This window comes from Homo sapiens, chromosome 7 (genome assembly GCF_000001405.40).
Source record: "Homo sapiens chromosome 7, GRCh38.p14 Primary Assembly".
Classification (NCBI taxonomy): Eukaryota; Metazoa; Chordata; class Mammalia; order Primates; family Hominidae; genus Homo; species Homo sapiens.
The window spans coordinates 6,895,310-6,911,734 of NC_000007.14; the positions used below are offsets into that span (position 1 = coordinate 6,895,310).

Here is a 16,425-nt window from a genome sequence, read left to right on the forward strand (position 1 = left end):
GAAGCCCAAATTTATTTCTGAGCAGATGTCTTTTCAAAGTGATTTTCCTTTTAGGAAGTGAGAGGAGAATGAAGGGGAGGTTTATCTACTTCTGATGTTAAAAAAGTCAAAACAAAATAAATTGGTGTTCATTGCAACTATTGGCCAAAGCACTATAATCACCAGGACTGGTACCTCAAACACACCTCCTGACAGCCCCTTCCATTCTAATCAAGATGTGCCCAACAGTGGTCACCCAGGGGCTGTTTACCTTTACTTAAAGAGAACCGCTGGTAGTAAGCCATAAAAATTACCATATTCACCATCTTTCTGCTTCAAAGAAGGTTTTAGATTAGCAATGGCTGGATCAATCACTGTGAGTATGTTCTTGGGAACTAAAAGCCAAAAAGAAATATTTTAAATACGTGGTATATTTTTAAAATGTGGACTCTTAATATATTTTTAAATGCAATGTAGGTAAGATTTTAAAATCACTTTCCAAATCGGTGCAAGAGTCACTCCCTCTCCCTGTTACATACACACACATACACACAACCCAATGGTATCCACGTGATCATCAAATGCTCCAGAGAGGTGGTTTTAGGCCCATTTTGCAATATTTAAAAAATGGAGACTAAAAACAAGATATGATATATCCATCCAGAAGAATACACCTCAGTAATAAAAAGGAATGAAAAGCTCGGCATGGTGGCTTACACCTGTAATCCCAGCACTTTGGGAGGTCGAGGTGGACAGATTACTTGAGGTCAGGAGTTCGAGACCAGCCTGGCCAACATATTTGAAACCCCATCTGTACTAAAAATACAAAGTTAGCTGGGCTTGGTGGCACAAGGCTGTAATCCCAGCTACTTGGGAGGCTGAGGCAGGGAGAATTGCTTGAACCCGGGAGGCAGAGGTTGCAGTGAGCAAAGATCGCACCACTGCATCCCAGCCTGGGTGACAGCGTGAGACTTCAACTCCAAAAAAAAAAGTGAAGTACTGATACGATACATGCTACAACATGGATGAACCTCTGAAACATTACATTCAGTTAAAGACGTCAGCCGTGCACACACACACAAAACCATCCATTGCATAATTCCATTTGTATGAAATATTCAGAAAAAGCAAATCTAGAGAGAAAGTAGATGCGTGGTGACCTGGGACCGGGGGGCTGGGAATGGGACAGTGACGGCAAATGGGCACAAGGGAGCTTCGGGGCATTGTGAAAATGTTTTAAAACTGGAGGGTAGTGATGGTTGCACAACTCTAAATTTACTACAAATCATTGAATTTTATTCACGTGTAATAGAATTTTAAGAAAAATAAACAACACGTCAATAGAGTGGTTAACTCTGGGCCGGGCACGGTGGCTCATGCCTGTAATCCTAGCACTTTGGGAGGCTGAGGCAGGTGGATCACTTGAGTCAGGAATTCAAGACCAGCCTGGCCAACTTGGTGAAACCCCGTCTCTACTAAAAAATACAAAAATTAGCCAGACGTGCTCACTTGAACCCAGGAAGTGGAGGTTGCAGTGAGCTGAGAGTGTGCCACTGCACTTCAGCCTGGGTGACAGAGGAAGACTCTATCTCAAAAAAAAAAAAAAAAAAAAAAAACATATATATATATATATATATATGGTGGTTAACTCTGAAGATGAGCTTCCCTGGACTCAATAAAGCAAAATGACTGTGACCAACTCAAAATCCACCATCAAACTCTCCCAGCACCTGCTCTTCTGCTTTCTACCCCAAGCTCTTTGCCTCTGTGTTTCCATCGTAAATCTGGAAAGAATTCGAAGACTCTGTGCTAAAGTGATTTGCTAAATATTATCAGAAAGGACTACAGAAAGATGCAGAGAGGATGGCAGCGTGACCGACCCCTTTGAAGGTGGTTGAAGACTCTGCTGAACTGAACCTAAGAATAAGCCCTGGGATGTCAGAATCCCCAGGCAAAGCTGCTGGCAGATGACAGCACCCGCTGAAACAGAGGACAGAGCAAGAATTCTGCAGGCCAAGCACACTGCCGCAGGCTGGGAGAAGGGAGTGGAAACCGAATATTCCTCCTGCATAAAACTGCTTATTTTTATTTGTTCCTCAGCCCAGCTGAGATCTTGGAGAAGTAGCAACAGGAAATGGAAAGAAAGCGAAAACAAACTGCAAATTCAGTTGCACTGCTTTTTAAAAAAAGAACAAGTGAGACATCTTCAGCAGCAAGAAAACCTTGTTTCCTTTCTTGGAGGGCTTAACTAAATTCTTCTGGGGATGTCCCAGGATCAACAACCACAGGACATTCCTAGATTGTGAGTTTTCCATGTACAAGAGGCCCTGGTACCTTGGTGCCCCTCAGCAGCAAGGGAGACTTCCCAGGGAGGCCCGGTGAAGTTGCTGGAGGTGGCTGATGATTTCCAGGGCCTCGAGAAATGTCCCTTGGCTGTCCTCAGGGCCCACCACTGATCCTGGGACCATGGCAGCTTCGGAGAGCTGAGCGGAGCTGCTGCAAAATGCTTTCTGCTTTAATTACCTCGCATTCATTTCTGGGCCCAGAGAAGGATACAGTGGCCTGGGAAGTGTCAGCTCTCCCTGCCAGGGGTAGGACTTCTTTCTCATGTCTGCCTCTTGGCTTGTTCTCAAACTGTGGCTTCAGGAGGGCCTTGGCTCTTGGCAAATGCCAGAGGCTTTACAGTTTGAGAAAGAATCAGAATTTTGAAGAGGAGCTCAGAGAGGAAGGTCATTCTAGGATGCACTTTGCAGAATCACCAGGCAGTGAAAAGGTGAAATTGGCTGTGGATGACACAGGCCACTGCAGGGAATGTGCCCCTCTACCATGTGAAATTGGTTCTGAAATCCAGAGAATCTCTTAGGACCTTTAAAATCACCGTTGTCAACACACTTGTCAGATTTTTGCATCTCCTTGTTTCAAACTGGTTCAGAATGAGGTCGGGGACTTGGGTGTGATTGATCACCGTCCTGCTCCACTTCAGATATGTTGGTGAAAACACTAGGGACCACTCTTCATGGAGCTCCTACTGTGTGCAGGACCCTGTTCTCAGCAGTTTAAACCAGGGCCATCTTCCTCCTCATCAACACCTTTCCTCTCCCACTCAGCAGCCTCAGCGTCTCAGCCCCTAGTGTGCAGCTAGTGCGCATACCCTAGTGTTCACCCTACAGGATGGTTCTCTTTGGAACACTTAAACCACCACCCCCAAGCTAAATTAGGCCCCCTCCACTGCTATAGTCTTCTTCCCTTTTCTAAAATAGCATTTGTCACAATAGGGCATGATGATGTGTCTGTCTATTTGGTTAATGCTTGCCTTTCTCCCTCAACTGTTCACCCCATGAAAACAGGACCGTGTCTGGTTTTTTTTTTTTTTTTTTTTTTTTTTTTGAGACAGAGTTTCACCCTTCTCACCCAAGCTGAGTGCAGTGGTGAGATCTCAGCTCACTGCCAACTCCACCTACCAGGTTCAAGTGATTCTCCTTGTCACAGCCTCCCGAGTAGCTGGGATTACAGGCATGCGCCACCATGCCCAGATAATTTTGTATTTTTAGTAGAGACGGGGTTTCACCATGTTAGCCAGGATGGTCTCGATCTCCTGATCTCGTGATCCGCCCACCTCGGCCTCCCATAGTGCTGGGATTACAGGTATGAGCCACCACGCCCTGCATTAGTTTAGTTTTTTAGAGACAGGGTTTCACTCTGTTACCCAGGCTAGAGTGCAGTGGTCCAATCATAGCTCACTGCAGCCTTGAACTCTTGGGCTCAAACCTAGGCTCAAGGGATCCTCTCGCCTCAGCTTCTCAAGTACCTGGGAATATATGAATGCACACCATGCCCAGCTTACATTTATTTGTTTAAAAGACAAGAAAGAGGCCAGGCACAGTGGCTCACAAGTGTAATCCCAGCATTTTGGGAGGGAGGCTGAGGTAGGAGGATCACTTGAGCCCAGAAGTTGGAGACCAGCCTGGGAAACATAGCAAGGCCTCATCTCTAAGTTAAAAAAAAAAAAGCAATAAAGATGACATGATACCAAATCAAATCATTTCCTTTCCTAGGAAAAGGGCAAAAACAAGGCACGGTGTCAGTTAAGAATCCCTCTTTAGAGAAGCATGAAAAGTCTGCCCCAAATCTGGTAAAACCAGGAACAACTGACGGTCAAACTGATGGTGCATTCTAGGTTAGGATGATTTGGACCAGGTTGTACTTTGTTCCCAAAGAATTCAAGGAAAAGTTAGTTTGTTTAATCCGCTTATCATGGTAAAATCTTTCTTTGCAATGTCATACAAAGTTGGCATTGTGTGTGCACTGTTGAAGAAAACATAGTTAATTGTTTTTTTAAAAGACTGTATTCCAAAACCATTTAATTAGTAAAAATGTTTAATAATGATTTGTTTTTTTTTGTTTTTGTTTTTTTTTTTTGAGACGGAGTCTCACTCTGTCGCCCAGGCTGGAGTGCAGTGGCGCGATCTCTGCTCACTGCAAGCTCCGCCTCCCGGGTTCATGCTATTCTCCTGCCTCAGCCTCTGGAGTAGCTCGGACTACAGGCGCCCACCACCACACCTGGCTAATTTTTTGTATTTTTAGTAGAGACAGGGTTTCACCGTGTTAGCCAGGATGGTCTCAATCTCCTGACCTTGTGATCCACCTGCCTTGGCCTCCCAAAGTGCTGGGATTACAGTCAGGAGCCACCGTGCCTGGCCCTTTGAGTACATTTTCTAAGAACTTGGTCATGAGTTCAGATGTCTGCCTCAGAGATACATGTGGCTTCCTTTAAAGAACCCACCTTCCCTTTCTATAGGAGTATTTATGGGAGATATGAGCCTGGAGGTTGGAATCTATCCTGGTTGTACTTTGCTATACTGAAGTAAGGAGTAAACCTACAACTAAATTCATACTGAAGTATACAAAGGGGGCTCTACAATAGATAGGAATTCTGTTTAGTTTTGTTGGGTAACAATTTCTTTGAGAAGCAAATAATAGCTCACCTACAAAACTGGTGATCTGTATAAGTTGGGATTTTTCATGGATCAGTTTTGCTTGGAATGAACTACCTAATCACAAATATATTTATACCCAGAGAGAGAGAAGGAGTGTCTGTTGAAACCGTATCATCTTAACGTGTCTATAAAAGGCAATACCTGGAAGGTGGTGGGTGCCACACAGGTTAAGCTGTCTTCCCTCTGGGAGGCAGGCTTCTGGGAACTACACATTTGGTAATCTTGCCCATAAAATGCCGATTGGACACTTATCGTAGAATGCCGAGGGCACTGTAGATTGAAATAGTCCCCATCACAGGCATATGTGGTGTGGTTTTGCAGGAGTTTGGTTAGGTAACCTGGTAAATATTCAGTCGGGTTACAAGAGTTCCAGAAACCCACCACTCCTCCTTGGGTTTGGGGACAGGAGGACGTTGGTTCCCCTGGGGAAGGGCTGTTGAGTTAACAACATGTGGGGTGGGGCCTCCCTAGCAGCTCTGGTGCAGAGGTCACCAAACCAGGCCCAGAGGTGGGGCACAGGAGCCAATGTCAGCTTTCATGTTGATATGGAAGGGGGGCAGGGGAGTGCTGGGTAGAGAAGGGTGGGGTCACTGTCGAGGGCTCTGCCCTCGGGCTTGTGCCCTTGGACCTTAGTGAGAACAGGCACTCCTGTTTTCTTGTCCAAATGTTGCATTTTCCAAGACTACTCTGGCCTGCTATGACCCCCATCCTGTGCCCATAAAAAACCCAAGATCCTAGTGGGCACAGACACAAGTGGCTGGACATCGAGAGGAGCAGAGAAGCAGGAGAGCACACTGAAAGACATCAGCAGATGCTGGCAGGCTTTTGACAGTGGGGAGATGTGGAATTCAGTAGGGGGTGGTCGGAGGAGAGTGTGGCTACTAGGCAGCCCGACTCTAGCAGAAGATCACCTTCCCACTCCATCCCCCTTCTGGCTCCCCATCCATCTGAGAGCCACCTCCTCCACTCAATAAAATCTTGCATTCATTCTCCAAGTCCACGGGCAATCTGATTTTTCAAGTACACTAGGGCAAGAACCCGGGATACAGAAAGCCCTCTGTCTTTGTGATAAGGCAGAGGGCCTAACTGAGCTGATTAACACAAGCCACCTGCAGATGGCAAAACTGAAGGAGACCACTGTAACACATGCCCACTGGGGCTTCGGGAGCTGTAAACACCCAATTCCACACGCTTCTGTGGGGCCAGATCCCAGAAATGCTCCCCACGACATGCCCCTCTACACGCTCCCTCTAGGGGTTTGAGCAGCAGGGTACTGAGAAGCGAGCCATGCCCCTGTAGCATGCCCTGCAAGGGGGATAAGGGTACTCCTCCTGTTTCAATGTCTGGGTCAGAAACCTTGGTCTAGGCCCACTGAATGGTTTGGAGGGCTCTTTCCCCTTCAGGAAGCACTAAGGTATTGGCCAGGAGCCAAGAAGTCCTGAAGCACCTCTGTAAACCAGGAAAAAACAATTGGGATGAGTATCCCCTGGACGTGTGGATGCCCATCCTGAGGGAGGCTTTCATTTTCTCATCTCCCACTAGTGAGGCCATGCCTTATTGGGATGAGAGGATGCAGTTTCATTTCAAGAAATCACTCTTGGCTCTGTCTTGGTGCTGGAGAGGAAAGACAGGCAGGGTGCCCTGTGCAGAGAAGCGATGGTGGGGCTCTGCTGTGGGTTGAATGGTGTCCTCTCAAATTCACGTTCATCAATGTGGGGAAAAGAAAGAGAGATCAGATTGTTACTGTGTCTGTGTAGAAAGTAGAAATACGAGACTCCATTTTGTTCTGTACTAAGAAAAATTCTTCTGCCTTGAGATGCTGTTAATCTGTAACCCTACCCCCAACCCTGTGCTCCCTGAGACATGTGCTGTGTCAACTCAGGGTTAAATGGATTAAGGGCTCCGCAGGGTGTGCTTTGTTAAACAAATGCTTGAAGGCAGCATGCTCGTTAAGAGTCATCACCACTCCCTAATCTCAAGTACCCAGAGACACAAAACACTGCTGAAGCCCACAGGGACCTCTGCCTGGGAAAGCCAGGTATTGTCCAAGGTTTCTCCCCATGTGATAGCCTGAGATATGGCCTCCTGGGAAGGGAAAGACCTGACCACCCCCCCAGCCCAACACCTGTAAAGCGTCTGTGCTGAGGAGGATTAGTGAAAGAGGAAGGCCTCTTTGCAGGTGAGCTAAGAGGAAGTCATCTGTCTCCTGCTTGTCCCTGGGCAATGGAACGTCTTGGTGTCAAGCCCGATTGTATATTCCTACTACTGAGATAAGGGAAAACCACCTTAGGGCTGGAGGTGGGACATGCTGGCAGCAATACTGCTCTTTAATGGATTAAGATGTTTATGTGTATGCACATCAAAAGCACAGCACTTAATTCTTTATCTGGTTTAAGATGTAGAGAGCTTTGTTCACGTGTTTTCCTACTGACCTTCTCTCCGCTCTTACCCTATTGTCCTGCCAAATCCCCCTCTCTGGAAACGCCTGAAAATTATCAATAAATACTAAGGGAACTCAGAGGCTGCTGCCGGCATGGGTCCTCCGTATTCTGAACGCCCGTCCCCTGGGCACTATTTTCTTTCTCTATACTTTGTCTCTGTGTCTCTTTCTTTTCCAGGTCTCTCATTCCACCTAATGAGAAACGCCCACAGGTGTGGAGGGGCAACCCACCCCTTCAATCAGGAACCTCAGAATGTGACATTTGGAAATTGGGTGGTTGCAGGTGTAACGAATTAACCTGGTGACATACTGGAGTAAGGTGGGCCCTTCACACCATGTGACTGGTATCCTTAAAAGAAGAAGAGACTCAGAGGGAAGACAGCCATGTGCAGCTGGAATGATGCATCTGAAGCCAAGGAATGCCACGCATTGCCAGCCACCACCCAAAACTGGAAAAAGTCAGGAAGGATTCTTCCCTAGAACCTTCAAAGGCAGCACAGCCCTGCCAACATCTGCATTCAGACTCTGGCCTCCAGAACTGTGAGAGGATGAATTTGTTGTTTTCAGCCACCCAAGCTTAGGAAATGGGTTGCAGCAGACTGGGAATAAGACAGGCAGCCAGTCAGACTCCGTGGAATTCCCAGGCAGCTTGCAGAAGCCACAGTGGGCCCTGGGCTCTGAGAAGTCTGAGGCCTAGCAGGCACGTGGCCTAAACTATTTCTCGGCAAGGAGGAAGGAAGGCTCATCCAGAACGTAGATCCCCTTCCTCCTTCTCACACCTCACGAGGTCACAGCGAGGTGGCTGGGAGGAGAGCCAGGGGCTTTTCACTGAGGTGTGTGGGAGACAGCTTGGCCGCCCTTGGCCTCTGAAGGGAGGAGGTGGTGTGAAGGAGGGCAGCTTCAGAACTTCCCAGTTCCTGCTTGACCACCTGTGTGTAAAGTATTCCTGTTTAGGTTTCAAAATCCTCTCAGAAACATAATTCTCAGAAAATCCAGGCACCCAATCCAGCTCCCTGGCCTTCCCTGAAATCTGAAGTCAAAGGGGCTGAGCCAGCCTGCCCTGGGTGTCAGGCCTCTGAGCCCAAGCTAAGCCATCATAGCCCCTGTGACCTGCATGTACACATCCAGATGGCCGGTTCCTGCCTTAACTGATGACATTCCACCACAAAAGAAGTGAAAATGGCCTGTTCCTGCCTTAACTGATGACGTTGTCTTATGAAATTCCTTCTCCTGGCTCATCCTGGCTCAAAACCTCCCCCACTGAGTACCTTGTGACACCGACTCTGCCTGCCAGAGAACAACCTCCCTTTGACTGTAATTTTCCTTTGCCTACCCAAATCCTATAAAACGGCCCCACCCCTATCTCCCTTTGCTGACTCTCTTTCAGACTCAGCCCACCTGCACCCAGGTGAAATAAACAGCCATGTTGCTCACACAAAGCCTCTTTGGTGGTCTCTTCACATGGACGCACATGAAATTTGGTGCCGTGACTCAGATCGGGGGACCTGCCTTGGGAGATCAATCCCATGTCCTCCTGTTCTTTGCTCCATGAAAAAGATCCACATACAACCTCAGGTCCTCAGACCCACCAGCCCAAGGAACATCTCACCAATTTTAAATCGAGTAAGCGGCCTCTTCTTACTCTCTTCTCCAACCTCTCTCTGTCCATCAACCACTTTCTCCTTTCCAGTCTTCAATCTCTCCCTTCTCTTAATTTCAATTCCTTTCATTTTCTAGTAGAGAAAAAGGAGACACGTTTTATCCATGGACCCAAAACTCTGGCACCGGTCATGGACTGAGAAGGCACATTTCCCTTGGTGTTTAATCATTGCAGGGATGCCTGATTATTCAACCACGTTTCAAAGGTGTCAGACCACCCAGGGACGCCTGCCTTGGTCCTTCACCCTTAGCGGCAAGTCCCGCTTTTCTGGGGGAGGCACAAGTACCCCAACCCCTTCTCTCCGTGTCTCTACCCCTTCTCTGCTTTTCTGGGGGAGGGGCAAGTACCGCTCAACCCCTTCTCCTTCACCCTTAGTGGCAAGTCCCACTTTTCTGGGGGAGGTACAAGTACCCCAACCTCGTACCTCTGCACCCCAATCCCTTATTTCCGCACCCCGACCCCTTTTCTCTGTGCCCCAATCCCTTATTTCCACACCCTGACCTCTTATATCTCTGCACCCCAATCCCTTATTTCCATGCCTGGACCTCATATCTCTGCGCCCCCACCCCTTTCCCACTTTTCTGGAGAGTAAGAACCCCCGAACCCCTTCCCTCCGTGTCTCTACTCTCTCTTTTCTCTGGGCTTGCTTCCTTCACTATGGGCAACTTTCCACCCTCCATTCCTCCTTCTTCTCCCTTAGCCTGTATTTTTAAGAACTTAAAACCTCTTCAACTCTCACCTGACCTAAAATCTAAGCATCTTATTTCTTCTGCAATGCTGCTTGACCCCAATACAAACTCAACAGTAGTTCCAAATAGCCAGAAAACGGCACTTTCAATTTTTCCATCCTGTAACATCTAAATAATTCTTGCCGTAAAATAGGCAAACGGTCTGAGGTGCCTGACTTCCAGGCATTCTTTCACACATCAGTCCCTTCCTAGTCTGTGCCCAAAGCAACTCATCCCAAATCTTCCTCCTTTCCCTCCCACCTGTCCCCTCCGTCCCAAACCCAAGCATTGCTGAGTCTTTCTAATCTTCCTTTTCTACAGACCCATCTGACCTCTCCCCTCCTCCCCAGGCTGCTCCTCGCCAGGATGAGCTAGGTCCCAATTCTTCCTCAGCCTCTACTCCTCCACCCTATAATCCTTTTATCACCTCCCCTCCTCACACCGGGTCCCGCTTACAGTTTCATTCCATGACTAGCCCTCCCCAACCTGCCCAGCAATTTACTCTTAAACAGGTGCCTGGAGTTAAAGACATAGTCAAGGTTAATGCTCCTTTTTCTTTATCCCAAATCAGATAGCATTTAGCCTCTTTTTCATCAAATATAAAAATCCAGCCCAGTTCCCGGCTTGTTCGGCAGCAACCCTGAGACGCTTTGCGGCCCTAGACCCTAAAAAGTCAAAAGGCCGTCTAATTCTCAATATACATTTTATTTCCCAATCTGCCCCCGACATTAAATAAAACTCCAAAAATTAAATTCTGGCCCTCAAACCCCACAGCAGGATTTAATTAACCTCACCTTCAAGGTGTACAATAATAGAAAAAAGTTGTAATTCCTTACCTCCACTGTGAGACAAATCCCAGCCACATCTCCAGCACACAAGAACTTCCAAATGCCTGAACCGCAGTGGCCAGGCGTTCCTCCGCAACATCCTCCCCCAAGAGCTTGCTACAAGTGTCAGAAATCTGGCCACCAGGACAAGGAATGCCCGCAGCCCGGGATTCCTCCTAAGCCACGTCCCATCTGTGCGGGACCCCACTGGAAATCGGACTGTTCAACTCACTGGCAGCTGCTCCCAGAGCCCTTGGAACTCTGGCCCAAGCTTCTCTGACTGACCCCTTCTCAGCTTAGCGGCTGAAGACTGACGCTGCCTGAGTGCCTCGGAAGCCCCGTAGACCATCATGGATGCCGAGCTTTAGGTAACTCTCACAGTGGAGGATAAGTCCGTCCCCTTCTTAATCAATACGGAGGCTACCCACTCCACACTACCTTCTTTTCAAGGGCCTGTTTCCCTTGCCTCCATAACTGTTGTGGGTATTGACAGCCAGGCTTCTAAACCTCTTAAAACTCCCCAACTCTGGTGCCAACTTAGACAACACTCTTTTAAGCACTCCTTTTTAGTTATCCCCACCTGCCCAGTTCCCTTATTTGGCCGAGACACTTTAACTAAATTATCTGCTTCCCTGACTATTCCTGGGTACAGCCACACCTCATTGCCACATTTTACCCCAGTTCAAAGCCTCCTTCACATCCTCCTCTTGTATTACCCCATCTTAACCCACAAGTATATGATACCTCCACTCCCTCCTTGGTGACCAATCATGCACCTCTTACCATCTCGTTAAAACCTAATCACCCTTACCCCACTCAACGCCAATATCCCATCCCGCAGCATGCTTTAAAACATTTAAAGCCTGTTATCACTCTCCTGCTACAGCATGGCCTTTTAAAGCCTATAAACTCTCCTTACAATTCCCCCATTTTACCTGTCCTAAAACCAGACAAGCCTTACAAGTTAGTTCAGGATCTGCGCCTTATCAACCAAATTGTTTTCCCTATCCACCCTGTGGTGCCAAACCCATATACTCTCCTATCCTCAATACCTCCCTCCACAACCCATTATTCTGTTCTGGGTCTCAAACATGCTTTCTTTACTATTCCTTTGCACCCGTCATCCCAGCCTCTCTTTGCTTTCACTTGGACTGACCCTGACACCCATCAGGCTCAGCAAATTACCTGGGCTGTACTGCCACAAGGCTTCACAAACAGACCCCATTACTTCAGTCAAGCCCAAATTTCATCCTCATCTGTTACCTATCCTAGCATAATTCTCATAAAAACACACGTGTTCTCCCTGCTGATTGTGTCTGATTAATCTCCCTAACCTCAATCCCTTACAAAACAACAACTCCTTTCCTTCCTAGGCATGGTTAGTGCAGTCAGAATTCTTACACAAGAGCCAGGACCGCACCCTGTAGCCTTTCTGTCCAAACAACTTGACCTTACTGTTTTAGGCTGGCCATCATGTCTCTGTGCAGTGGCTGCTGCCGCCCTAATACTTTTAGAGGCCCTAAAAATCACAAACTGTGCTCAACTCACTCTCTACAGTTCTCATAACTTCCAAAATCTATTTTCTTCCTCATACCTGATGCATATACTTTCTGGCGCCCCGGCTCCTTCAGCTGTACTCACTCTTTGTTAAGTCCCACAATTACCATTGTTCCTGGCCCGGACTTCAGTCCAGCCTCCCACATTATTCCTGATACCATACATGACCCCCATGACTGCATCTCTCTGATCCACCTGATGTTCACCCCATTTCCCCACATTTCCTTCTTTCCTGTTCCTCATCCTGATCATGCTTGATTTATTGATGGCAGTTCCACCAGGCCTAATCACCACACACCAGCAAATGCAGGCTATGTTAAACACACCTCACCAAGCTCAGCCGACTTAAAAAGGACTGGACAATACTTTTACCACTTTCCCTTCTCAGAAGTCAGACCTGTCCTCAGAATGCTACAAAATACAGCCCATTTGAGCTCCTGTACAGACGCTCCTTTTTATTAGGCCTCAGTCTCATTCCAGACACCAGACCAAGTTAGACTATGCCCCAAAAAAACTTGTCATCCCTACTGTCTTCTGTCTAGTCATACTCCTATTCACCATTCTCAACTACTCATACATGCCCTGCTCTTGTTTACACTGCCGGTTTACACTGTTTCTCCAAGCCATCACAGCTGATATCTCCTGGTGCTATCCCCAAGCCTCCACTCTTAACTCTTGAGGTAAATAAATAATCTTTGCTGACAAGGCTATGCTGAACCTCCTTAGGCACTCTCTAATTAGATGTCCTAGGTCCTCCCAATTCTTAGACCTTTAATACCTGTTTTTCTCCTTCTCTTATTCCATTTAGTTTTTCAGTTCACACAGAACTGTATCCAGGCCATCAACAATAATTCTACACGACAAATGTTTCTTCTAACAACCCCACGATATCACCCCTTACCACAAAATCTTCCTTCAGCTTAATCTCTCCCACTCTAGGTTCCCACGCTGCCCCTAATCCCGCTCAAAGCAGCCCTGAGAAACATTGTCCATTATCTCTCCATACCGTCCCCCAAAATTTTCGCTGTCCCAACACTTTACCACTATTTCATTTTATTTTTCTCAGTAATATAAGAAGACAGGAACGTCAGGCCTCTGAGCCCAAGCTAAGCCATCATAGCCCCTGTGACCTGCATGTACACATCCAGATGGCCGGTTCCTGCCTTAACTGATGACATTCCACCACAAAAGAAGTGGAAATGGCCTGTTCCTGCCTTAACTGATGACATTATCTTGTGAAATTCCTTCTCCTGGCTCATCCTGGCTCAAAACCTCCCCCACTGAGTACCTTGTGGCCCCCACTCTGCCCGCCAGAGAACAACCCCCCTTTGACTGTAATTTTCCTTTACCTACCCAAATCCTATAAAATGGCCCCACCCCATCTCCCTTCAATGACTCTCTTTTCAGACTCAGCCCGCCTGCACCCAGGTGAAATAAACAGCCATGTTGCTCACACAAAACCTGTTTGGTGGTCTCTTCACATGGATGCGCATGAAACTGGGGTCCTCACGCCCACCAGCCCAGAGTACTCTCTAGAGGAAGGCTACAGATACTTCCTGGCTCGCTCATCCAAACGTTAGCTGTCTTGCTGAAACTCCTTTTGTCACCCTTGAAAACCACTGGAAGAATGGCCAAGAACCCAGCTATCCTGAGTAAGTTCACTTAAAGAAGCAAAATCTGACATGAGTGGCAAAACGGACATTGGCACCAAGAGTGTGGGTCAGAGTCCTGCCCCTTGGAACTACATCATCGCTTGTACAGTGTACCCCCCAGGCACCAAGAGACCAGGCGGAGACCCTTCAGTGGCCCTGGGCCTCTGGTCACTGTCTTCCTGCCTGGCACAGAGGCAGGCCCTCATAAATCAATGAGTACTGAAAGTTCCAGCCTTCTTGGTGGGTTCTCTGCACCCCGTCGTGAGCCACACCCTGCCCCAGGGAAATCAGGGTCAACTTGATGCTACCCCTAGGCCAGTGCCCCTTCTGCAGTGCCCCAGGCTGGCACCCCATACTTAGATCTCTTCAGCCTCTTCATGAAAACCTTCTTGTCCATCACCCCAGCATTCCCCAGACTGTGCTAAATGAGCAGCTGACCACACGTCAAATCAATTTTCAGAGTTTGCCTTTGGTTTAATATTCATGGCTTATCCAAAAGATCTTGTCACCATAGCTAGATGAAAAAAATGACAAGGCTCTGGAGAAGCAGAGCCACAAGATGGAAGATACCTGGGTCCTAGGTTCATGAGGAGAGGAGCTTCTTGCTCCACAGACTGTCACATGAGTGGGAATGAAACTTTTGCTGCGTTTAGACGATTACCTTTCTTCACTCTGTCACATAGTCTATCCCCGCTAAACAGAACTTGACCTCCACCAGACCGTTTACATCAAGACCTATATGTGTAGTGCAGCGGCCTGAGCCTCCAATCCATGCCCCACCTATCCAACCAGCCTTGCCATATTCTAACTCTGAGAGTGGTATTCTGGGGGCAGACGCTCAGAGCATAGAATTGACTAATGCCAGATACTTCAGGCGCTTTGCACTTTGAAGTCTCTCTGTCCTAGCACATTCCAAGTACAAAGAAGACACTTCAGCAGTACAACCTGGCCTACACTCAGTTCAATTACTTCTTCAAAAACCTAGGCCCGGCCAGGTGTGGTGACTTACATCTGTCATCCCAACACTTTGGGAGGCGGAGGTGGGTGGATCACCTGAGGTCAGGAGTTCGATACCAGCCTGGCCAACATGGTGAAATTCCATCTCTACTAAAAATGCAAAAAATTAGCTGGGTGTGGTGGCAACCCCCTGTAATCCCAGCTACGCTGGAGGCTGAGGTGGGGAAATTGCTTGAACCCTGGAGGCGGAGGCTGCAGTGAGCCGAGACTGTGCCACTGCACTCCAGCCGGGGAAACAGAGCAAAACCCCATCTCAAAAAAACCCAAAAAAACAAAAACAAATAAAAACAAGCCTAGGCCCACATCCAGACAATGGAATGTTATTTAGCACTACAATGAAATGAGCTATCAAACCACAAAAAGCCATGGAGAAACCTTAAATGCATATTCCTAAGTGAACGAAGCCCATCCGAAAAGGCTGCACACTGTATGATTCCAACGATATGACATTCTGGATAAAGCAAAACTATGGAGACAGCGAAAATATCCATGGTTTCCAGAGGTCAGGAGAAAGGAGGAATGAATTGATGAAACACAGAGGATTTTTAAGGCAGTGAAACTACTCTGTGTGATACTACAATGGTGGATCCACGTCATTGTCCATATGTCCAAACCCATGCAATGTACAACACCAAGAGTGAGCCCTCATGTTAACTATGGACTCTGGGTGATAGTGCCCACCTCGGCCTCTCAAAGTGCTGGGATTACAGGTGTGAGCCACAGCGCCTGGCCTCTGCTTCATTTCTCTAACACATTAAGTCTATTTAAAAGGAAAAAAAAATTCCCTATCCCCAGGATAGCATTACCTTTGGGAGGAGAGGAGCTAGCGTTAGGGAGGGGAGAATGAGGTGCTCAGGCAAGCTGGCCATGCCCAGTTCCTTGATCTGCATGACGTGCATGTGCTTTACTGTGTGAAAGCTCACCCGGTTATCCACTTGGGATATGTAAACAAAAATGTTTAAGGAAACTTCGAGGATGGGCTGCTGGGTGACAGCAGGACAGGCTCATGAGGACCAGCCATCACCCAAATGCTCTGGTCCTCCAGGCTGCCTGCCCATGCCTCAAGCTGTTTGGTCTACAGTGCCAAAAGGTCAGGAAGAAGGACAGTTAGGACAACCTCATAGTTTCAGCAACATGGAGGCCATCAAGAACCATTTTGAAACCATATGGAATGGGGGGTGGGGACAGAAGCTTGTTTGGAAAAGGTAGAAAAGTGAGTGGAGGGGCCAGGTGCGGTGGCTCATGCTTGTAATCCCAGCACTTTGAGAGGCTGAGGCAGGTGGATCACCTGAGATTGAGAGTTCAAGACCAGCCTGACTAACATGGAAAAACCCCATCTCTGCTAAAAATACAAAATTAGCCATGTGTGGTGGCAGGTGCTTGTAATCCCAGTTACTTGGGAGGCTGAGGCAGGTGAATCACTTGAATCTGGGAGACAGAGGTTGCAGTGAGTTGAGATTGCACCATTACACGCCAGCCTGGGCAGCAAGAGCAAAACTCCATCTCAAAAAAACCAAAAAAAAAGAAAAGTGAGTGGAGGTTCAGAAAGTCAAAGATGGTCCATGTGG

At 47.6% G+C, this 16,425-nt stretch overlaps 1 pseudogene, besides 2 other annotated features; it reads right to left on the reverse strand.

The window, feature by feature from the left end:
* On the reverse strand, window positions 291–5,315 carry EVA1CP3 (EVA1C pseudogene 3; annotated as a pseudogene).
* Window positions 6,709–7,363: an enhancer, noted in NCBI's record as "OCT4-NANOG-H3K27ac-H3K4me1 hESC enhancer chr7:6941649-6942303 (GRCh37/hg19 assembly coordinates)". NCBI's record gives its function as "activates a minimal SCP1, AML or CMV promoter by ChIP-STARR-seq in naive and primed H9 embryonic stem cells {active_cell/tissue: H9 hESC(naive and primed)}" and the evidence as "EXISTENCE:reporter gene assay evidence [ECO:0000049][PMID:30033119]".
* Window positions 8,020–8,674: an enhancer, noted in NCBI's record as "H3K27ac-H3K4me1 hESC enhancer chr7:6942960-6943614 (GRCh37/hg19 assembly coordinates)". NCBI's record gives its function as "activates a minimal SCP1, AML or CMV promoter by ChIP-STARR-seq in naive H9 embryonic stem cells {active_cell/tissue: H9 hESC(naive)}" and the evidence as "EXISTENCE:reporter gene assay evidence [ECO:0000049][PMID:30033119]".